The sequence below is a fragment of the Homo sapiens genome, chromosome 14 (genome assembly GCF_000001405.40).
Source record: "Homo sapiens chromosome 14, GRCh38.p14 Primary Assembly".
NCBI lineage: Eukaryota > Metazoa > Chordata > Mammalia > Primates > Hominidae > Homo > Homo sapiens.
The window spans coordinates 36,297,416-36,321,575 of record NC_000014.9 but is presented as its reverse complement, the minus strand read 5'-3'; the positions used below and the strand labels follow the sequence as shown (position 1 = coordinate 36,321,575).

At 35.8% G+C, this 24,160-nt stretch overlaps 1 protein-coding gene across 8 annotated transcripts, besides 2 other annotated features; it reads left to right on the top strand.

Annotated features, from left to right (window-relative positions):
• Nucleotides 541-590: an enhancer, noted in NCBI's record as "active region_8283". NCBI's record gives its function as "activates an Ori minimal core promoter by ATAC-STARR-seq in GM12878 lymphoblastoid cells {active_cell/tissue: GM12878}" and the evidence as "EXISTENCE:reporter gene assay evidence [ECO:0000049][PMID:35858748]".
• MBIP (MAP3K12 binding inhibitory protein 1) lies at nt 939-23,012 on the top strand. Of its 8 annotated transcripts, none has more exons than NM_001144891.2 (9): nt 939-1,116; nt 4,764-4,883; nt 6,661-6,885; nt 6,968-7,064; nt 9,552-9,617; nt 9,851-10,003; nt 13,387-13,484; nt 20,753-20,791; nt 22,389-23,012. In NM_001144891.2, exons 1-9 carry the CDS (start codon nt 988-990, stop codon nt 22,491-22,493), a joined length of 1,032 nt encoding a protein of 343 aa, NP_001138363.1. In that variant the 5' UTR covers nt 939-987; the 3' UTR covers nt 22,494-23,012. The 8 variants fall into 8 exon arrangements, with proteins under 8 accessions (NP_001138363.1, NP_057670.2, XP_047287425.1 ...); NM_016586.3 differs by having other exon boundaries at nt 22,386-23,012; XM_047431469.1 differs by lacking the exon at nt 9,552-9,617.
• Nucleotides 991-1,250: an enhancer, noted in NCBI's record as "active region_8282". NCBI's record gives its function as "activates an Ori minimal core promoter by ATAC-STARR-seq in GM12878 lymphoblastoid cells {active_cell/tissue: GM12878}" and the evidence as "EXISTENCE:reporter gene assay evidence [ECO:0000049][PMID:35858748]".
• Nucleotides 23,013-24,160: the final 1,148 nt, after the last annotated feature.

Below are 24,160 nucleotides of genomic sequence, written 5' to 3'. Positions count from 1 at the left end.
AAGCTGATGTTGATTTCTTAAAGTGTTTTTGAATAAAGCTTAACACTAAAAATTATTGTAATACTTTAATTGGATAACACTTTTTAAAAATATCGGAGTCTGACTAAAAGATTACAAAACCCCACAAACATCGTTATAATAAAGCTATTATGATAAATAATACTTTGTAAAATTTGAATTCGGTTTTATGTCCTAATTTCAAAGATTGTGGTTGCATGATATTATTTATCCAGGTTAAATTCCTGTTGGAATTATATTGACAGTGTTTCATTTCTTTGAAACAATTTTAGGGTTAAGCGTCTCTACAGTTAAAACAGAGAATATCAACTGTAGTCCCAGTTACTCAGGAGGCTGAGGCAGGAGAACCGCTTGAACCTGGGAGGCGGAGGTTGCAGTGAGCCGAGGTAGTGCCACTGCACTCCAGTCTGGGCGACAGAGTGAGACTCTGTCTCCAAAACAACAACAACAAACTTGAAGAGATGAAAATGTTCTATCCAATCATGATAATTCCGTGTGAGTTTTCCAATGTTTAGAAACACGTGTGGGCACCACTCCATCCCTGACCAGCAAGCTTCCTCCAGACCCACTCCACACCGCCATGTTAAAATGTCAACTTTTACTTTTTGGACTCAAACTACAAAATTTAACTATGTCTCCTCTTACCAAGATTCACAATGAACACCTAGGAGTCAAGGTAGGCTTCATAACGCTAAAGAGACCACGACTCTAATGACCACCCCAAACACAGCATTCCAGCCTAGCTGTGGTCTGCAATTACCCACTTCAGAGCCTCGGCGCAATGTCACAGCTGCAACTGATTGGTGTAACGTGCTTGTCATTCACATAGAGAGGGTGGGGCCTCAAAGCCCGATCTAAACCAGACTCCGTGTCTTACGTCATCGCCAAGCGACTAAAGCTGGAAGGGAGGGGGCGGGGTTGTGAGCAAATCTTGGTGGTGGTGGTGGTGGGGCGGCCTGAGAAGATATCATGGCTGCTGCCACGGAGCTTAATCGCCCGAGCAGCGGTGACAGGAACCTGGAGCGAAGATGCAGACCCAACCTCTCCCGAGAGGTGCTCTACGAAATCTTTCGCTCCCTACACACCCTGGTTGGACAGGTGAGAGGTGGCCTGAGGGACTGGGAATATGGAAACCATCCGGTCCCTCCTCGCCATTCTTTTTCTCTAGCAGAGGCCGGGGGCAGCTAGGCCTGCAGAGGTGTGGGATGCGGTCCCGAAGCCGAGGTGTGGAAGGAGCCCGGGCCCAGCCTCCTCGGTCGGAGTGAGGAGGACGGCGGTACCGGTTGCAGAGTCGTTTACCTTGCAGCTGTCCTCCCCAAGAGTGGGTGAGGTTGGCCTAAGTGAAAACCCGGCTCCGAGAGAGGCAGGCTTGGAGAGAATGAATGTGGAAAAGCTTCACTGCGAGTTTAGGAGGCGCTTAGCGTTCAGGGTCCTTTTTCCTCCAACTTACTCTTTATGGGAATTGGTTGGTCAGTAGGCCTGAGATTTATAGAAAAGCGCGCGCTTATTAGCTTTTTTTGGTGGGGGAGGGAGTAATTTGTTCTTATGAGTTACTTGGTTTTGTTTATTTCTTTTTTCCTTCGGGCTGTTTTGCGCATCTATAATCCTTTCAAATGGGGAGAAAAGTAAAAGGAATTCATTTAAAATACTTCTAGCGTAAAATGCTGTTGGCGTTAGAACTGTCGTTATTTAACTATTAACTAGTTTAACTGGCTGATAAATCGCTTTTGCAGAAATGTCATAGTAAAATTGGTTTTAAATTGAAATGGGCTTCTTCGATCAAGTCACTGTTTCGTTTCATGGTGTAAAATTCAAGTTTTAAATGAGAAACAATTTAAAAGTATGCTTGTTTACCTGCCTTTTAAAAGGAAATATTTTCTATCTTACATAGACCATTTTCTAGCCGTAAAAGTTTGTTTTGGGGCTGGTACTAGCGCAAGTGGACAAAGCAGGCATTTGTGTCAAAGATAATGGTAAATTCCTATGAAAATAGAACATTTGTCTGATTTGTGAAAATTATTTTTAAAGCCTTGAGTAGATGGAGAATCAGTCTTTTAAGAAGTTACTATTTTTAAAAATCGTAGTATGTTGTGTCTTACAAAGAACATTACTGTAAGTTAAACGGTTTTATGAAATGACGCAGTTATTAATGGAGTCTGCTTAAAGATATAACTTTTAAATTCAGTTGTTTGCCAAGTACTTACCAAAAACATTTTTTAAAGACTTGGGGTGTTTTGTTATTAACATTCCATTCTTAAGACCCAAGACGTTTAAATGGTTTAAAAGTTAGAGAACTTTTTATGGCGACGTTGGAACTTAAGTTTATTTATTTTATAATGTCAAGATGAAAAAAGTTTATTCTCACCTGTTAACAGAAGATGGAATATTTTTAAAAAATACTGAGCAATGATTTAAACATTTCTTTTGAAATATTTTGCATACTGAATTTTTCAAACTCATTAGAAAATTTTAAACATTCAAGTACTGTACAAGTAAAGAAGTGATTACAATTTACTTATGTCACCTGTCAAAAATGTTCACAGTAAATATTTGGTTACTTTACCATGACACAGTGAAGGGACCTCCTATACAAGTGTCAAAAATATGATTGTTTCATCAATTAAATACAAACTGTTTTCATAATACTCTATATTTTGAGAAGTGTTAAGAGTGAAAATTAGAGTTCCATACTTATAAAATTGCCCCCAGAGAAATCAGTATTTTCTTTTGCAACCACTTTAAAGGATATTTAGAATGTATGTTGTAACATGCCTAACTTCATCCTGTGTCATCCCTAAGTATCGTTGTATTATTAGATCTCCTCAGTAGGAAACATAAAACTGAATGTTAAAAATAATTTTTTACTTAAGATCACAAAATTTACTAATTTTAACCTTTTTGCTTGCCTCTGGATGGTCCATCTTACCAAGCTAAACAATTATTTATTTTTAGCTTGGATTTTTGTATTAATTTAGTAAAGTTTTTACTGAAAATATATATTTAAATAGTCTATATTAATAGCAGACTAATAGAGATTTTCGAGTGAGTGGTTTACTCTTCCAAGTTCTGTAGGGCAAAATGCATAGAGTTCATATTACTAATAATGAATTTGTTGAATGAATAGTTAGATGTATTAGGACAGTTTTAAAATTAATTTGTGACATTATGTGGTTTTCTTAAAAGACTAATTATTCTTAATTGCACTTGAAGCTTATGTAATTCTGCTGAATTGAAATGAGAATATGAACCAAACATTAAGACTTATTTTTCTATAAGTTATTTTCTCTAGAAAATGTGATACTTTGCTTTGGTTGAGGATTTGCCTGCTTTATCCCCAAGCTGTATTCTTAAGTTTTCTATAATCAACTATAGATCTCCTTGAAGACTATGAAAGTACATTAATGGGTTACTTCCATACATAATACAGGTTGTTGTCTAACAAAATCTTTATAGGAATTAAAGTAATATAAATTAATGCATTAACTTTAATGTACAATCTTAATATATTCTAATCTTTGCCAGTGCAGCCTACATGAAATTTCATATCTCTTTATACTTGTCTAATATGGACTTTTAAATGCTTCCATTCTCATCTTCAAAGGGCAGTAAATTTCTGTCACATAGTATTTATTCAATATATTATCTTTTTATTGGTAACCTTATATCTTTTTGATCTTTGTACAGTGATTCATCTTTTTTATTATAATTGTGACTCATAAAATCTGTATTTGAACTCACGTAACACCTTTATTTTGTAGAAAAGATGACTCATTTTGAATAAATTATGTTAACTTGATTCTACTATGAAGTATAGTCTTATACTATGCTGTAAACACATGTCCCTAGAAAAGTTTTTGATGGTTCACTTTTATTCATTCAAAAGACTGCAGATGGGCGCTCTCATTGTAAAATTTTCACTCATTTTGATAATAATCTTATATTCAGGTTCTTGGTAGTTTTCTGGATATGATTTTATTCTATTAGATCACCAACTGATAGAAATTTCCATATAATGAGCTGTCACATCTTAGCATTTACAAAAGATCTGGACATTTCATCCAGTCTGACAACTTATTTCACTGTGGTGGAGAAGTCTTTGTTTTTCAGCTTCAGACTTCCATTGCTAAATAATAGTTTTTTATTTGAAATAAACATGTTGCCATTTATCCCTACACTTTATATGTATGAATAATCTTGACTTTTAAATTAGTTTAAAAATCGGTTAAAAGTTAAAAAACTAAAAATGTGATTTGGAGGACATCAGAATAATGATATATTTCTGATATGTATTTGTGTACATACTTAAAGAGAAAGATGCATGTTAAAACTTTCACAAAACACTTGTACTTCCTCTGTTTAAGGCTCTGAGCTAGAAGTAGTAGGATTCTGAATAGGGCAAGCCTATATTGGACTCCATCCAAAGGTTTGTATATATTGAAGTATCAAAAGAGCCTTCATCTTTTCATCTTTCATGAATGGTTTTACCTCTAAAATGGTCCCATTACACAGACCTAAGAATAGAATTTGAACGACATGTCATTTTGTTTTTGTTTTTTTATGAAAATCTGTAGCTTTCTTGGCCTTTTGAAATGGTAACTGGGTAGAGCATTTCAGTGTATTATTAAAAACTTGATAACTTAGAGCAAAATAGACCCGTTACTCTAGAAATCTTATTTTTGTGACAATTCCATATGTAGAGCTTAATCGTGTAATTTTTGTGATGTTGCTGGTTTGCCCCTTTGAAGCTTGACCTCAGAGATGATGTGGTGAAAATTACAATCGATTGGAACAAGCTCCAGAGCCTCTCGGCATTCCAGCCTGCATTGCTCTTTAGTGCACTTGAACAACACATTTTATATTTACAGGTAAATTTCTTGTTAGAAATGATAACCCGATATTGAAAATAGAAATTGATTGTGGTTAAGTTAGTTGGAGTATTTGACAGTTCTAAACACTATATTAATAGTGTTGCTAATAAAACGTTATTTACATCCGGATTTAATCTAAATCTGTTAATTTCAGTAGTGATCAGGACAGTTAAGGGAATATAGCCCAAAAGACCAATGTGGGTATGAGTGAATGAATGCAATTCTATTCAATTCTAGACCTGCACTGAAAATTCAATACAGTTCCATCTATGGTGGGTTATAATTAAGCAATAAGACACGGCAGGTGTGTGTCATGCTATGATAATGATTCCATGCCTTGGGTGAGTTTGGAGGCTCATGGAGTGCTTTCAGTGGTTCAAGAAGGGGCATTATCCCAGCATGACACATCCTGGAGTGTCTATTGCAATTAAACAGTTTCAGCATAGTTTTTAAAAAGAAAGTAATTTCTATGACATTAATGTCTCATCTTAGTAAGTAGCCAGTCACTATTTTATCATTTCTTTTCCTTAACAGTTTGAAATAATTCATTCTTTATATTAGAAGTTAATATTGAATTGGTATTTATAATAGTGTTGTTATATTTTTAAATATTTCATGTTAATAACTGAACAGTATTATGACCTTGCTGGTTTCTAATTGAACATCTTTGCAATTATAATTGATGTAAGTTTGCAGTTTATCTCTAATCAAAGTGTAAAATGTGAAGTGTCAAAAAGATAAGTGGAAAAACTGGATTGGTCAGTTTACTGTGATTAAGGTGTTATAAGATTTCAAAAGAGTAGTATAGCGAACAATGGAAGCAAAATTGTAGGTATGAAAAAAATAATTGGAACGTTATTAGTGTTAGTGTGTTTTGACTAATGGAATAGGCATTAATTTTCAGCCCTCCATTCATTGACTTTGTGGGAAATTTTAACTGTTTCATGTTAAAAGTAATAGTTAACCCTGTTTTTAAAGGGCAGAGCAGTGAGCTCTAGAACTCAAATGAGACCTCATTGTGGGGAGTGGGGGAGGGGAACAGTAAATGAGTAATATAGTTTAAATTCTACAACAGGGGTTTTCCCCCTGTAGTATAGTGATAGGCCTCTGCCTGTTTTCAGCTATAGATCTTTTTTTTTTCTTGTTCGTTTTCTTTTTTAAAATTTAATTTTATGACCAAAAGATATCTTGCCATGTCAGGAAAAGTCTGAGTGTTCACTCAGCCTAACACCTATATATTTCATGTCTATGCTTCCTCATTCACATTGGCCAACTGCAGTTTCAAGTGGAGAATCTCCAGTGATACAGTGATAATGCAGGGCTTTGCTGAGTGAGAGCACTAGCTCTCGTGTTAAGGAGGAAAAATACTAAGCCTTAGTGTTCTGAGGAGGCATTTGAATGACATGTTAATTAAGTGGCATTGGTGCCAGAGGCTGAAGGCTTTGATTTGGCACAAAATAAAAGATGAGTGACAGAATGATTCTCTCAAAGAAAATTTTAAATTTCCTTAGGTTTTCTTTTCTTTTTTCTTTTCTTTTTTCCTCTCTCCTTTTTTAAAAAACAAATTTATAGCAAATGATAATGGTTACAATAGCAGAGAATAGTGAGTACTTATATGTGGTCAGATCTATGTGTCCTGGTATACCAACTTTTTATATTTATTAACTGATATTAAGTATTTCATTTACTTAGCAGAAATTTATGTAAATATATTAAGTGTGTAATTAATTTTGGTCAGATTGAACCTCAGCAGATGGAATTGTGTTGTTCTCAGCCTTTTTTAGCAAAACTTCAGTCTCCGATTAAAGAGGAGAATACAACTGCTGTTGAAGAGATAGGAAGAACAGAAATGGGGAACAAAAATGAAGTAAATGACAAATTTTCCATTGGCGACCTACAAGAGGAAGAAAAGCACAAAGAAAGTGATTTAAGAGATGTGAAAAAGACACAGATCCATTTTGATCCAGAAGTAGTTCAGATAAAGGCTGGAAAAGCAGAAGTAAGAAGGTTTTTTGGCGGGGGCGAGAGGGTATTATTTTAAAAAATCTTATGTTTACACTGTTAAAACTTGTTGTTTGTAGATTGACAGACGAATATCTGCATTTATTGAAAGAAAGCAAGCTGAAATCAATGAAAACAACGTCAGGGAATTTTGCAATGTTATTGATTGTAATCAAGGTAACTACCTGGAAATTAATTTTCATAGGGTTTTAAGCACAATTTTTATAGTTGCTCTAATCTTTTATTTATTTTTTAAATGAATAGCTTTTAGAACACAATTCAATTTATTTCATGGATTTAGTTAGTAATTAAGACAGTAGAGTTTCCTTCTGCTTAATAATAGACTATATTGCAAACTGGTTTTCATTTTGGTTACACAAAGTAAATGCTAACATTAAAAAGTGTTTATCACAGGTGAAGATTATTTTAAAGTTCCTTTAGGAAATGAAGGTGAGGTACGAGTGAGAAGGTTGATCTATCTCACTAGTAAAAGGAACTGAGCTCTATGAATTTCAAACCTATACATGTACTGTGAAATCATGATGTTAATACGTAAGTGAACTTAGTAAAGTTAATATTCCTCCAGAGGGAGCAGTTTTCTCACTACTCCTGAGCTGTTTGAAATGTCCTGTGTCACGATACAACCAATTTATCATGAAGACCATGGTGTCTTGCTTTTTTCCTTTCTGCCATAGTGCATACATTTGCTGTTTTTCATCTGATTCACCTTTACCTCTCTACTTGATGCTATAGTACATTTACAAATCTGCAAGTATGCTGCAGAATACAAAATATTGCAATGCAGTGCCATAGATTATACTCAGGCACCATAGTAATAATCAGAACAAGTAGTTCTTAGGAAAAATTATGGAGAAGAGTTCATAATTGGAATGAACATGTTTCTTGTTGCCTCTAATATCTCATGGCTAATTATTATGAACATAGAATTGTCAGATGAACCTAGAAATGACTCATATCACATTGGTACACTGATTCTCTTAATGAAATAATATAGGCTGGTATTGGGTCCTGAATTTAGCTGTGTGCTACTATTAACATTACACATGTGCATCTCTAAATTTGGTATATTTTCCTGTTAGCTTTTCAGAACAGGTGCAACAATGGCAAAATCTCAGGTACTACAACCAACTACAAGCGACTATGAGAAAGGGTTTGTTGAGAGAGCAAGCACATGTGTCACTAATGTTATTCCTCTGTTCTCCCTGCTAACTCTATTATTATAAACCACCAGGGGATAGAAATTGACGAGAATTGAAATGCTCAGCAGGATTCCTTGGCCCATTCAATTCTTTGCTGGCTCAAAACAGTGCTAGCAAGAATTGCTGTGGAGAGTGACTAGCAGTCATACACTCACACCATGCTGAATTTCTCACTGATGGTCAGTTAATCTATATGTTTGGAATATAGTTCTGGAATGGATGATAGCTTCTTTTTTTAACCCTTAGCCCCATGAAATGGTAGGAAGAGAATGGAGAAAGGATGGCCCTTTAAGCATATTTTGAGGTGCCTCCAAAAAAAAAAAAAAGGAGGAAAGATGTCTATTTAGTCTCTAGATATAAAAGCTAAGTGGATTTGGAATTTTATGCATACTATTTGATTTATCAACAGAACTACTAAGGAAAGTTCAACTGAAAAAAATACAAATGTATTTTAATATGTTAGTGTGTTCCTTTTAATACCTACAAATTTAACCTAACTATAAGCAGTGGAATTTTTAAAAATCAAATTTCATAGGGGGGAAAAAATAATTTTTTTTAAAGAATCTCATTTACCAGCCATTTTTTACAAAATATTCAGGGGAATTTTACAGGAGATTTACTGCCAATGTGTGGCCTTTAAACATTATTTCAAACATAAGTATATATTATTACTATGTAGTATCGTATGTTAATATATAACAATTATGTTAATTAGTTGTATTATATGTTAACATCTTTCCAATTTTCCCCTTTTGTAATTTATGCATTGATACTTAATTTGAAAGAAACTACTTTTCAGCTTGGAAAAAAATAGGGACAAATTTTCACAATAGACCTTTACTAAAATGAAACTTTTTTGAAAAGTGGTGGGATAAGAAGAAGTAGATGACTTTTGTGATGAAGGGTTTTTAAAATGAGCACTGGAAATCTAGGTAGAGTGGAAATGTATGTGTACTTGAGGTTTTGAGGTCATCTTTGTGTGGAGTTCTGAAATAAAAATGTTAAATAATTCTTTTTGTTGGATGTTCACTAATTTGGTCATTAAAATAAAAAATGCTGAATTAAAAGAATTCTAGTAAAAATGATGAGTTTTATTTCTACGATGAAGTAGAATTTAAATACTCTATGGTAGATTATTTTCTCCAGTGGCCCAAATAGTGACATTGGTTTTCAAAATTGTATCAATTTGTGCCACTTAATGTTGATGGCTTTTCTGTATATAAATCTGAACATTAGGTAAGAATATTAGATATTATGATAAATTTTGACAGGTAAAGAAGGTCACTAAATTCTATCCTATGTGTGATAGTAATTTATTGTTACTATTATTTATTAAAATTATTATGAGTAAAATGTTAATATGAATTATTGAAAGTTTATTAAAATCTCATACATTTGAAGGGAAGAATATATTTAAACTTATATTTATCTAAATTCTCCTTAGAAAATAGTTGTGCAAGAACTGATGCGATTTTTACCCCTTACCCCGGATTTAAAAGTCACGTAAAAGGTAAGTAACCACCACATGACATCTGAGTCACTGACAGAAGTCTAGATTATTAGCAAAATGGAATAGAAATAACTTTCCCATCTAAATTTTATTTTAAAACAAAAACATCTTGCCGTCCTTCATACTTGTGGTTAGATGGTCTTTATGAAAAAAATATAAAGTGCTGTTAAGGAATAAGAATTTCTGATTTTTGAAATACAAATGTATATAGGCTCAAAAGTTTCTTAATTTAGTTTCTAGAGTTGTGAATACATACGGACCACAGACTAGACCTGAAGGAATTCCAGGGTCAGGTCATAAACCTAACAGCATGCTTCGAGACTGTGGTAATCAGGCTGTAGAAGAACGACTACAAAATATTGAGGCCCACTTGCGGTTACAGACAGGTAAGCAAAGTGCTAAGTGGCACCTCATAATGAACCTTTGCAAATGGTTAAAAAATTGCAGTTCATTTAGTCACCAAATTTTCATTTAGCTCCTAACATTTCTTGAACAGTAAGTGCCAGTCACTCAGGAAGTGTTATGTGTATGTCAATTCACTTAAAAGGTCATAGTACCCTTTTGAGATGGTGGTGGTGTTATCACTGTACAGATAAATAAATTGAAGTTTAAAGAGCCCAAGCAAACATGCCTAAGATACTAAGTGACAACTCTAAAAAAAAAAGAAAAAAGAGATAGTCCAGTCTTGCCCAGGTTGTACTTGAACTCCTAGGCTCAAGTAATGCTCCTGCTTCAACCTCCTGTGTCAGTGGGACTACAATCATGTGTCACTACTGCACCCTGCTCAAACCCAAGTCCTCACTGGGTGCAGAGACTGAGTCTCCCTCTCCATTTAGTCACCATGTCTGTTGATTCTGTTTTCTAAATAAATATCTCTCAAATCTGCCCACTTCTGTCTTATCTCTACTGCTACTACTAGAGTTGAAGCCACTGTGATCTCTGGCTTGGACTGATGGAAGGATATTTACTGGTTTCTTTGCCACTGGACTCCTCTAGATCATCTCTACCCTGTGGCCAGATTGCTTTTTCTAAAGCTCAAATTTGATCTTGTTTCTTCCCAGCTAAAAATGTGGAGATTGGGATTGAAGGGGGTTTGTAATTTTAAATAGTATTGTCCACATCTGTAGTTCCAGCTACACCTCTGGGCTTCCCATCTCCCACTCGTTGTGCTGCTTTAGGATCTTTATACTCATGCCCTTCTGTCCATGCTTTTTCTTCCTAATCCTAGACCAGTGCAGATTCACCTTTTGTATAATCTTATATAGCACCTGGTATTCCCTGCTCCCCTTTAAAGCAGTTATCATGGTTCTGTTTGTTTAATGTCTGTCTCCTGCTAGATAGTCCGTGAGAGTGCAACTATGTCTGTCATATTCATTTCTTTGTACCTATTACAGTGCCTGGCACAAAGCAAGTGCTCAAATGTTTATTGAATGGACAGTTGCTTATTTCACCTTTGCAGATGTATGTACGGAGGGACAGAAAGTTAGTGTTTGACTCTCTCAGGGTAGGTCAAGGGATGATGGCATCCTAATGAAGTGACATTTGAGGCCTTGAAGGATTAGTAGGAATTTTCCAGAGCAAAGCATTCCAAAAAGAAGAAACACCATTTGCAAAAAAGGACAAAAACACAAAATATGGTTCAGGAGATATCTGAATCCAGTATAGCTGGAGTATACTAGCTATCTGAAGCTATGCTAGCCAGATGAAGGTAGAAGAAGAAAACAGAATGAGTAAGTCTTTGAGAGTAATAAGACACTGGCATTAAGAATTAATCTCTTCCCTCAGAAGTGGATGGGTTTAAAATGCCACTGTATAAAAGGATTGACTGGTTAAGTCTCTAATAATAGTATGAAACAGTTAAGTTTTTGGAAAAATATCTGTTGAATGTTTACTATGCTCCAAGCACTATTTTAGGCACAAGGGATACTGAGATGATATAATCATAGTCCCCAGCTTCAAGGACTTTATAATCCAAATGAGAGAAAGATTAATAGTGAAGTAGAGTTTTAAAGGAGTAATGAAAGGATGGGTGTAGTGGTGTGTGCCTATAATCCCAGTTCCTTGGGAGGCTGAGTGGGGAACAGAGCTTGAGTCCAGGAGTTTGAGACCAGCCTGGACAGTATAGTGAGAGTCTGTCCCAAAAAACTCAGGAGCACTGAAGAATGGTGGGGGCACAAGGAGCCTTTATGCGAATGAAGAGGTTTCGGCAGTGCCTGCGTTACCCAGTGAAGCTTGAACTGGCTCTTGAAAGATACAGAAGTAAGGCAGAGGACATTGTAGGTAAAGGGAGCAGCAAAAGCAAAGTCAAATGAACAAGTTAACTTATTTAAGAACAAGAACAACCAAGGTCCTAAGATTTCTTAAAATCCTCAAAATTTCTAGAATTTTTACATAACAAGTTGACAATTTTGATATAGAAATTTACCCGTATTCTTTAATTGCATAATGATTGGCTAATCATGTATTCATTCAGTCAGTAAATATCAAGCACCAGCTCTTTGCCATGCATTGTAGTCTTATGAACTGATGCTTCCTAGGTTTGTGCAGTGCACAAGCTGCACAGCCCTACCTAATGAACAAAACAGATAAAACTCTGTCCTCTTGGAGCTTATATTAGAATGGGGAAACAAATAATACAGAAAGAAAATATACTGAATGTTGGGTGGTAGTAATGGAATGGAGAAAATTAAGGTAAGGAGGATAAGGGAGTGCTGGGTAGGGGAGTGGTAGTACTGGTATTTTTAACAGAATAGTCAGAGAAGGTGTTACTGATAAGGTAACTTTTGAGCCAAGACTTGAAATTGACTTGGGATTATGGCGGTAGAGGGAACCAGCTGAAGCTTACAGGGTGCTTGGCCTCTTTGAATAACAGAAAAAAAGTAATCAAGTGGCTGGAACCATGTGGGCATAGGGAGAATATCCACATTGTGTATGGCCTTGTAGGCCATTGTGAGGGCTTTGGTATTTAATCTGAGTGAAATGATCAGGTATTGGAAGGTATTTAACCTCAGTGAAATGATCAGGTATTGGAAGCAGAGAAATGATGTGATCTAACTTATATTTTTAGAGGATCACTGGCTCCTGTGTTGAAAATACACTCTACGGAAGCATGGCAGAAACAGGGAGACCAGTTTGGGAGTTGCAGTAATCCAGGGAGAGGTGGAAGTGGTCTGGACCAGAAAGGCCACAGTGTGGAGGGGGTGAGAAGTAGAAGGATTCTTGATATAATCATAAATTTAAAATTTGAGTGGCCATAATTTACTCTTCCCCTCCTCAGAAAGTTTGTTAGTTTAGAATTATGGTAAAGCCCCTTTTTTACATTCTTTTAGGTCAAAGGAAAAATATGGCATGTAGGGAGAAATATTAATTGAAGAAAATAATATGACATATTGCAACCACTGCATTGAATTATCGTCATTTGTCACTATGCATTTTTGTCCTCCCATGTAACTATCAAAGCATATCAGAAATATAAATTGTTCTACATGGAAGCTATTCAATATCTTGTAAAATGAATTTAACATGAAACTCCTAGAATATAGGAAGCATAAATGGGGTTTGGAGAGAGGAAGTGTAGTACAATATGTCCGATAGTGTATAATACAAAAATACGACCTAAGGACTTCATTCTGTTTTACTTTTGTTTTTTATTTTCTTAAGTATTTTCCATTCCTTTGCATAAGTGTCTTTGCATGGTATTTTAAGAATAAAAATTGTGAAAAGAAAGAATTATTCAATAGTATCTCAGATTTTTTTTTAATGTATTTAGGTGGTCCAGTGCCAAGAGACATTTATCAGAGAATTAAAAAACTTGAGGATAAAATCCTTGAATTGGAAGGCATCTCTCCTGAATATTTTCAGTCTGTAGTGAGTATAAGTGTCTTTTAAAAATAAATGAAAATGTTATTGTATTCTGGATTCTTTGTGGTTTAACAGTCACTCATTGATCTATAAGCAAAACACTATTTTAATAATTCAAAGATGAATGAACACAGTCCTGTATAGGGGATATATCTAATTCCTTAAAATCTCTGGTTCTGAATATTTTTAAAATTTAGAATTTTTAAAAAGGGATACTTCTATTATATATTACCCACATTCTCAAACTTAGGCCATTTTCATGGCATAGTAAGTCAGCCTGGGTGGTGGTTGGGCCTGTTACTCTGAACTTGCTACCTTGTAAAACAGAGGCTTCCTCTGTAACCTTGCTCTTTCAGTGATCCCTCTGCCTCTTTAATCTCTCTTCCCCAACAGGCTCCTTCTCTCAGCTCATATGCAGTTAATACTAAACAAACACACACCTCAAGCTGCCACTCTTATTCTTTACCTTAACCACCAGACTTTCTATGTTTTTGTAATTCCTTAACTCTAGCATTCATTCATTCTTACCCCGTTTTCCAAGAACCTTAAGAAACAGTGTTGTGCTGGTAAGTTAGTATCTTTGGCACATCAACATTTTTCAGAAAAATGATCCTGAGCTCATTGTGTTTTCCTCAGTCTTCTGAGGTGATTATGTATAATACCTGCCTTCTCTAAGTTTTGTTTTTTTTTTAAAGCAGTACCATATTAGAACTAAAATAATATCAAAGTGAGATTATACCAAAACTCCTATTTCTGAAAAATTATGTGAGATAGCCCATTTTAGCATGGATCATATAAGTTAGTGGTGAAAATATATTTAAAATTTATTTTAGGTATGACAGCAATCTTCCAAAGTTATAGATTGAGTATAAGAGTGAGTTACAGAAAAGAAGTATTTCCAGAAGAAGAAGGCAGGTCACGTAACAAAAGGGAGCAGCAAGTCCTAAATGACAAAATTTCAGAGAAGAGTTTTAGTGATTTACTACTCTCAAATGTAAAATGAGGTTTATGAAAATACTAAGGGCTGAAGCAAAGATCAAATGAGATAATGCTGATCAAACACTTAGCATACTGCTTAGCACATGGTAAAAACCTCATTGGCATTTATTTAGTTTTATAACTACAAAGTAGCTGTATAAACGTGGAAAAGTCACTCTATTCCTCTGATCTTCAAGATGTCTAATTTTAGAAAATGTATTGGTTGTACTACATAATTACAAAGGTCTTTTCACTTTTAGGATTATTCTTTGAATGTCTTCCTAGGAGACTTCATAAAGATTTTTAATGACTTTTCCTACAGTAGTCTACCATAAGTTTTTCCCATTCTAACTGCCTTCATTAAAGAAGGCAATAACCTAGGAAAGTTATTTTTCTAGTTCAATTTCATACCTTGTTAATATAATTCTTATTAACGATAGAACCGATCTTACAATAGAGTATGGTAAAATCAGATGCCTCCAATGAGAACTTGCTGCAGCATCATTCCTCTCTTCTCTCTGATTCTGATTTATAAAAACTTAACAGAGGCCGGATGCAGTGGCTCACGCCTGTAATCCCAGCACTTTGGGAGGCCAAGGTGGGCGGATCACCAGAGGTCGGGAGTTCAAGACCAGCCTGACCAACATGGAGAAACCCCATCTCTACTAAAAATACAAAAAAATAAAAAATAAAAAAAATAAGCTGGGCATGGTGGCGCATGCCTATAATCCCAGCTACTTGGGAGGCTGAGGCAGGAGGATCGCTTGAACCCAGGAGGCTTAGGTTGCGATGAGCCAAGATCACGCCATTGCACTCCAGCCTGGGCAACAAGAGCAAAACTCGGTCTCAAAAACAAAAAAAACAAAACTTATAGATGTGTTTAACAAAAAAAAAAGCCCTCCACATCATAATCTTTTTGTTTTGTTTTGATCTGTTACAGATAGGATAGAGTGGGTAAAGAGGTAGAAGTAGCCAGATTGTTAGGACCTTAAGTGCTATGCTCAGAAGTTTAAAATCTATTTTCCAGGCAGGCAGCAGGGGGAATCTACTGAAAGCATTTGAGCAGAGAAGTGATTTGTGAACACGATATTTAGAAAGATTTATCTAATACAGTTGTGGGAGACAAACGAGAGAAACTAAGGATAAGGAGATAGTATTATGCTAGCTTAGATGTGAAGTTAGTTCCTAAAATAGGGACATGAGTGAGAATGGAAAAGATTAATGCAAGTAGGAAAAAAAATGGACAAATACTGATGATTGGATGTGGAAAGAGACAGAGAACAAGGATAGAGTCCAGTTTCTGGTTGGAAAAATGATACCATCATTGATAGAAATAAGAAAATCTAGAGAGAGAGATACTTTTGTGGGAAATGTGAATTTGAAGGCAGAGGAGGTTATGAAGGTAAAAACATCAGGTAAGCTTTTTGAGATACGGCACTTACACTTGGGACAATTGGGAGAGTCTGTGTAGTGTGAGAGTCCATTGATGGATAGGAACACAGATTGTCTGAGGCCTGAAGTCTGAAGCTTGGTGACTGCCTAATTTCAGGGGCAGGAAGCATTTGTAAATGTAAACAGAGGATTGGCATATATGTATTAAGCATTCAGAAAAGGATGGATGGTGGCAACCTGTGATAAAACAGGTGATTTTTAAAAGTATTTCCAAATATGTTAAAAAAAAAAACTATATATCTTTTAGAAGAACTGCAGTTCTTCTGGATTAGTGTTGTAAGTGACACATTAAATTAGTAGTGAGCTACAAGGAAGAACAAAACACTGGAAAGTTTAAACATTCAGACTCATTCTGTCCTTTAGGCCTGTGAACATACATGACACAAGCCCTATGGGAAAGAAGATTTCATACTCATCACCCTTCTATAATAGGATGAATGAGCCATCTTTAGGAACCTCACTTGGAATACAGTCAGCTCTAAGAGTGTCCTTGCAAACAGGAGAAGTTGAGCACATACCTTACAGAGGACATAGTACATTATTCATCACCCTCACCATCATGCTGGGAGTACATGCATGGTAATTGCATAATTTTACATATTTATCCCTCAAAAGTATACAGAAGAAACTACATATGTAGCACAGTCCTATAGCTTCTAAAGATAGGAAAGGAAAGTTGAGCCCATTCAGTTTATTAAGGATTGAACTTTTGTTGGAACTCCTGAACTCTGAAAAGATTTTCATTGAAATGTGTTTATTCAGATTCACATGTAGATGAATTCTAAACATGGGGGAGCTTCTTACAATTGGATAGAGATTGATTATCATGGGTAACATTGAAGCGTAGCATAGAAAAACAAATATTTATGGGGAAAAAAGATGTCATTTGTATTTGTTTTATAAAATGTAATCAGATTATGTAAAGTTCTCATTTTACGACCAGACATAAAACTCCAAAATAAGTTATATGTGTATAAAACAGGATTTATGACAAAAGTTAATAATACTTGTTGGACATTTTGATATAAGAGTTCTAAAGATCTTTATTCTTCACATTAGCCATGGAAAGCTTTAAATGTAATGTTTTCAAAAGTTTAAGGGCATGGCCTTAACAGTCCATTTAAAAGAACGATCTTAGAGTATTTCCAAAGACTTACTGATTTTAAATTATGATACTTGAAAACAGTAAGTACCAACATGCTTTTACAAGTATATTGTTTAGTTTATAGCATTTATCACTCATATGTTTATACATGTTTTTCACTTTATATTTTGAAACTCTCAAGGGCAGGAACTATGTCTTGTTCATCTTTGAGACACAGAATGTAGTCAATATCGAGTAGATGTGCAAATGAATGGATAGGACTTGGCTGATAGCTCATTATTGGACTTTGAAGGTGTGTTAACTTTGTTCAAAGCACTGACTGAGAGTAATTTTTAGTCTGTAACAGTAACTCCTGGTTCTTAAGGGAAGTATCGGGGGAGGGGAATGCTGAAAATCAGGTCAACATCATGTACACAGGCCATGTGCGTGTGAACGTGTGGTGGGTCTGAAGCATGAGTGAACAACTGGATTCAGCTAGAAAATTAGATTGTAAACATATTTCAGAGGGCCTTGAAGGTCACACTAACCAGTTTGCACTTCTAGTATCATTGGAGCACAATTAAGTTTTAGAGAAAGAGAGAAACTTGTAATTTAGGTCCCTGTCTGGTGGCATTATGAAGTCTGAGTTGGAGAGAAATTGGAGTCAAGGAAACTAGTTTAGGAAACATGTCATTATCCAAGCCAGAGAGAAATGAAGGTCTGAATCAGGGCTCTGGGACTAGAAGGGAAGAAAAACATTTTAGATACTGCACGCATAGAATCAGTTGCCTTTTACAACTGAAAGAAAGCAAGCCAGTCATGGAAGAGGCCTCCTTACCCTTGAGTTTCCTTAGAGCACTGGTTCCCTGGATTCATATGTGTGTGTGCATGTGCGTGAACGTGTGTATGACAGTCATGCTCTGCATAAGGATGTTTCAGTCAACAGTCAACTGCATATATTACAGTGATCCCATAAAATTATAGTATGGTATTTTTACTGTATCTTTTCTATGTTGAGACGTGTTTAGATACACATATACCATTGTGTTACACTTGCCTACAGTATTCAATACAGAAACATGCCATAAGGTTTATATGCTAGGAGCAATAGACTATACCATATAGCCTAGGTGTGTACCATCTAGGTTTCTATAAGTATACTCTATGATGTTCACACAATGACAAAATTAACACATTTCTCAGAATATATCCCCATCATTAAGCGGTGCATGACTAGGAACCTGGTAAGGTAAAATAATGGGTGAGGAGAGACAATTTTGCATTACCTTTCTCCAGCTCTTTCTTTAGTGTGCTGTGCTCTCAAGTATTTTCTCTCAGGTACCAAAACCTGTTAAAATGTCCACCTTTTATACTTCTATACAGATGGGGTTATGTCCCAATAAACCCATCAAAAACTGAAAATATTATTAAGTCTAAAATGCATTCAACACCTCTAACCTACCAAACATCATAGCTTAGCCTAGCCTAAAACATGTTCAGAATGTGTACACTGGCCTATCATGTACAGTTGAGGAAAGTCCCTTGGCAGCACAGTACACTGTAGAGTATCGGGTGTTTACCCTCATACCCCATGGCTGACTGGGAGCTTTGCTCACTGCCACTGCCCAGCATCACAAGAGAGCATCGTATCACATGTCACTAGCCCAGGAAAAGATCAAAATTCAGCATTTGAAGTACAGTTTCTACTGAATGTCTGTCACTTTCACAGCATTGTAAATTTGAAAAACCTTATCTAGCCATCATAAGTCAGGAACTGTACTGAGATTTCCTTATACCTAAAACAAACAGTAAAGTTAATCTAGTGTATCCACGGTAGATATGGTATTTCTAAGTGTTCTTTTTATCAAAATATTCTGCTCAGAGCTAAAACAAGTCCAAAAGGCCACATTTTACTGTTTTTAAGTCACTGAGCGACTGATGACCTTATTTTCCTCATTCTAATATTTCTTGCTTTGGTTCTATGATACAGTAGTAATCTGATTGTTTAATAGCATGGAAACTATCAATATATTACAGGTTAAACGATTAGGAGAACAAGGGGAATTTTTTTTTTTTTTTTTTTTTTTTTTTTAAGATGGTGTCTTGCTCTGTCGCCCAGGCTGGAGTGCAGTGGTGCAGTCTCGGCTCACTGCAACCTCCGCCTCCCGGGTTCATGCCATTCTCCTGCCTCAGCCTCCCAAGTAGCTGGGACTGCAGGCACCTGCCACCACACCCGGCTAGTTGTTTGTGTTTTTAGTAGAGACTGGGTTTCACCATGTTAGCCAGGATGGCCTTGATCTCCTGACCTCTTGATCCACCCGCCTCGGCCTCCCAAAGTGCTGGGATTACAGGCATGAGCCACCACGCCTGGCCAAGGGCAATTATATTTGCATCAAGTGTATAAAAAGCCACCTCTTAGGAAGTTAGGAGACTGATCAATCGCCAAATTAAACATTGATTCCTTATTTGCCCATAGGCCCTACCACAGGTATCCAGCTTGGTTTGGCAAAGGAAGGAGCATAATTATCTGAGCTCTATTATTTCTTAATTACTAATTCTAATACTTAATGATTTCCCATTTATTGTAACTTGATAAGCATACCTAGATGTTCTTTGAATCAACTTTTGACACAAAGGAAAATGTGAGTTTTAATGCTGTCTTTAAAATCTCAGTAGTCAGAAATGCTCATGAGAACATTTTGTCTTGGACATTCACAGTTTCTTTGTCAAATATACTCATTTACTAATTTGCCATTCAAAAGCTAGTGCTTGTGTGAAACTAAGAAAAAGTCTAGAAAGAATTCATTAGGCCAAAGTTTAAAAGGCTCATTAGTGGATCAGTGAGAATGTTGTTAGCTTCAACTAAGAAATTTGAACTCAAAACTGGCTTAAACATTATGTAAATTATAAAATAGGAAGTCCATGGTAGCACAAGCTTCAGATTTAATTGATTCAGTGGCTAAATCATAATTGTGAGAAAACAGGTTTCTTTCCCCTCTTAACTCTGCTTGGTGTTAACTTCTTTCCCAGGCAGATGGCAAGATGGCTACAGCACTTTCAGGTGTCTTACCCAATACGGCAGTATCCTGAGGAACTGCCTTCTTTAAGGGCTTTCTCTCAAAAGATGTGAGGAAGCTTTTTCCAGAAGCTCTCCTCTTAATCTCCAGCAGACCTCTCCTTTACTCATTGGCCAGAACTGGACCCATGCCCATTTCAGTCACTGACAAGACCGGGAAGCCATTGGCTTGGGCCACACAGAGAAGTAGTGGATAGGTAGCTGCTTGCATAAACAACCACAGTGTCTACTATAGTCAGTCCAGGGTGTGTGTATGTGTGTTTTCACCCCTTGGCCTCATATACCAGATTCCGTTTTTCCTTTGTCTGTTGTCACTTCACTTGTTCAATACCCTAGGATGGAAAGGTTATGAAAAAAAACTAAGCAGAAAATCCCCAGAGCACCTCTTTCCGAAATCACTCAGGCTCATTAGCAGCGGGTAGTTGATGGGAAAATATGTATTGCCAAGGATGAGCATGTTGCTGCAATATTACTATTATATATTGTTAACGTCATCCTCTTTAGAGGGTAACTTGCAGAATATAAGGTAGATGTTGGTTACAGACAGTAATTGGTATTGGTAAATTGGTTGGTTTTTTTTCTGTCAGGGTTCCCAAGGCTGTACATAATTTGTACAGTATTTTATAAAGAAAAAAAAATGATGCTTAGATTTTTCTAAACATTACCTTTTTTTTTTTAATCTAGAGCTTTTCTGGAAAAAGAAGAAAAGTTCAACCACCTCAAGTAAGTTACTGCATTTTCATTTTGGTTTCTGAAATAGTTTGATTAGTTTTATACCTTTCTTATTAATAAAAGTTTCTACTATGGTTGCTTTTAGGTCATACCCTGGTAAAATTTAGGACTGAAGAAAAGGGCAGTATAAACTAATACAGTTGAATAGAAAAATTATTTTAAGGGCATGGAATGACTCAGATAGGTTAAATAAATAAAACCTTTGTCCTGCTTTTAGTAGTACAAGGATGTGTCATTCACAAAGTGCTTAAAAATAGTAAGTGCTCAAGTAATTTCAGTCTCCCCCCATCCCTTCCTTTTGTGAACACTTCTAATTAGCAGCACCTAGATCAAAAAGGGTGTTTGGCAGAGTTTGACTTCAGCCAGCCCTGTCTAAAGTGCTACTTTACTAATTAGTTGAACCTTAAATAGTAAGGCTTTGCTAGAATTTAACAGTGGTAATGTGAATTTAAAGTTGGAGAAAACTTTCTGATTTTTAAGAGTAGCATATTTTTTTCTTGTAAAATTCTGAGTAAGTTTTTTGATAGCAGCTATTTTTTCCCGAAGTAAATTATTATAGTTGATCCCTCAAGAGAGAATTTCTAAGTATTTTAAGCAGCTATTTTTAAAGTTAACTAACTTTTTTTACTATTGATTATGAGAATAATCAGGTTTTTAAAAGTTATTCTCTTATGTAGTAAACTGTAACACTTCGTTGCTGCTTTAAAAATACAATTCACATAACATAAAATTCATCATTTTAAAGTGGCTATTAGTATATTCACTATGTTGTGCAACCATCACCACTAAGTCTAGAACATTTCCATCACTGCCCCCCCAAAACCCTGTATCTATTAGCACTCAGTCCCAATTTCCCCTTCTCTTTACCCCCTAATAGCCACTACATAATACTTGTGTCTAAATTAGAAATATTAATATATAAGTGAGGGTGTTCACATAGGTAGACTTGAATAAATCCAATTTTTATTGGAAGGTAAAAGAAGTATTTTCTTCACTATTTTCCACTTCAGGTTAACTTTAGTAATCAACATAGAAAGTTTTCCATTAAAAGGGATAGTTGATGTCTCAAATGATTTTTTTCTCCTGGTAGTAGTATAATTAGCATTTTTCTTCTTCTTTCCAACTTTTACTTAAGCTCAAGGGTTTTTCAGCTTTGTTACATGGGTAAATTGCATGTCATGGGGGTTTGGTGTACAGATAATTTTGTCACCCAGGCAATCAGCATAATACCCAATAGGCAGTTTTTCAGTCCTCTCCCTCCTCCCATCTTCAAATAGGCTCCAGTGTCTAATAATCAGGCTTTTTTTTTTTTTTTAACTTATTCTTTCTAAGTATAAAAGGTTCAGGAGAGCTTAGTCATTAGAAAAGAGAAAAAGAAATATTTAAGCCTTGTTATTTTATGCCTTTAAATTTATGATATAGTCAACATATATAGTTGCTCAGTTTTAAGATTATTCTCATGAGGGAAAAAAACCATTTGATCATGCTTTTGAATATTTTAAATATTTATAGTTCATTTGGCACTTTATCTGCATTAAGATACTTCAGAATCTTATTCAGCAATTTGTGTCGTTATTGTTTACAGCAGAACTATTCACTGGCTGAACTTGATGAGAAAATTAGTGCCCTCAAACAAGCCCTCCTCAGAAAATCAAGAGAAGCAGAATCCATGGCAACCCACCACCTTCCATGAAAAACTCCTCTCATCCTTGTCATTTTACTTTTTTGTATACATATGTGTAACTTACACTGTTATTAATTCAACGGATATATATTTATCAATGTAGACTTCTCTGTGAAGTCAAGGTTTATTTTCACATGAGTCCAGCTTGCAGCAAGTAATCTTCAAATATTCCAGTAAGTTTTGAAATAATGAATGCATTGAAAATAGCATTGTTGGAATTTATTCCCTTCTGTTTTAAAGGAGGTATTTTGGAAATTGAAAAACTTAATTTACAAGTGCTGGTACATCTTTTTTCTTTTGTGGACCACAGGAAGGAAGATTTATTTTGATATTGATACTTTAAAAGGACTTTATATTTGTAACATTGATGTTAACCAGTTTATTAGTTTAAATCAGTACTTTGCATATAATAAGCATTCAACAAAAATTTATTGACTGAAATGAATTTTAAATGCATGTGTATGAACTTGTTTTTCTTAATCTTTAAGATGTCAGTATTCATGTAAATAAACAATAGATCCAGCTTTATCCCTTTGACGGTGTGACTTTGATCAATTTACTTAATCTGTCTTTGTTCTTATTTCCCAGTCTGTGAAATGGGAATGACAATAGTAGAGACTACCTTATTGATTGTTACGAAGAAGAGGTGAGATCTTGCATGTTTGAAACTGTCTGTCCCAAGGGAATTGCTCAGTAGATGTTAGCTAATATTATAAAACCAGGTCTGTTTTTGGACAGCAATTAGGATATTACAAAGAAATTATAGTACCTCTCTTTTGAGAGCCTCCCCTTTACAATACCCCAGTTACATTAGGCAGTACATACATTACCACAGTTATAAATTAAACATTTGAAAGATGCAGCTACAGTTATGTGGAAATTCTTTCATGGAGCAGTTGTTCAGGTCAATAATTGTTTGGTGGTTCACTCCTGTAATCTCAGCACTTTGGGAGGCTGAGGTAGGAGGATCACTTGACCCCAGAAGGTCAAGGCTGCAGTGATGCACTGTATTCCAGCCTGGGTGACAGAGTGAGACACTGTCTTAAAAAACAAACAAAAAAGGTTTGGTTGCAAGAATCAGAAATCTACCAAATAGCTTGGAAAAGAGTTGTTGCTAAAAAGGAGCAGAAATCTGGAACTTTATTGCAGGAAGTACAGTGAAACACTGTAGGATCTAGAAAGTCGCCAGCAATTAATCTCTTTCTGTGTCTCTGACTGCCTCTCATTCTTTGTCTCTGTCCTCTACTCACCTTGTTTTCTGCTCTCCCTCTCCTTTTGTCTCTGTTACTCTGCCTTTGTTTTTTAAATCTTACACATAGTCATCTATGTACCTACTATATTATCTTTCTGTGGACTGGTTTCTCTGAAGACCTTTTTATCTCTGCTTCCCCACATGGAGTGACATGTTAGTCCTGTCTTCATTAGTCCTGTCTTCAGAGCCTCGGCTTGTTGTGTTTGAGCTGCTATGGTGCAAACTCTGAACTCAGCTCTAGAACTTCACAACTCCAGTGACTGCTGCTTACCTCATGTTTTGTGTTTCTTAGCTCATATTCTCCAGAGATTAAACCAGACTCAGTGTGACCAGGCGTCTCAGTCAGCTGGGGCCAGATGGGGCCGAACCTCTTCGTAAGAAGTTTGCAGTGTACACACAACCTTGCGAAACCATTTGTGGCAGC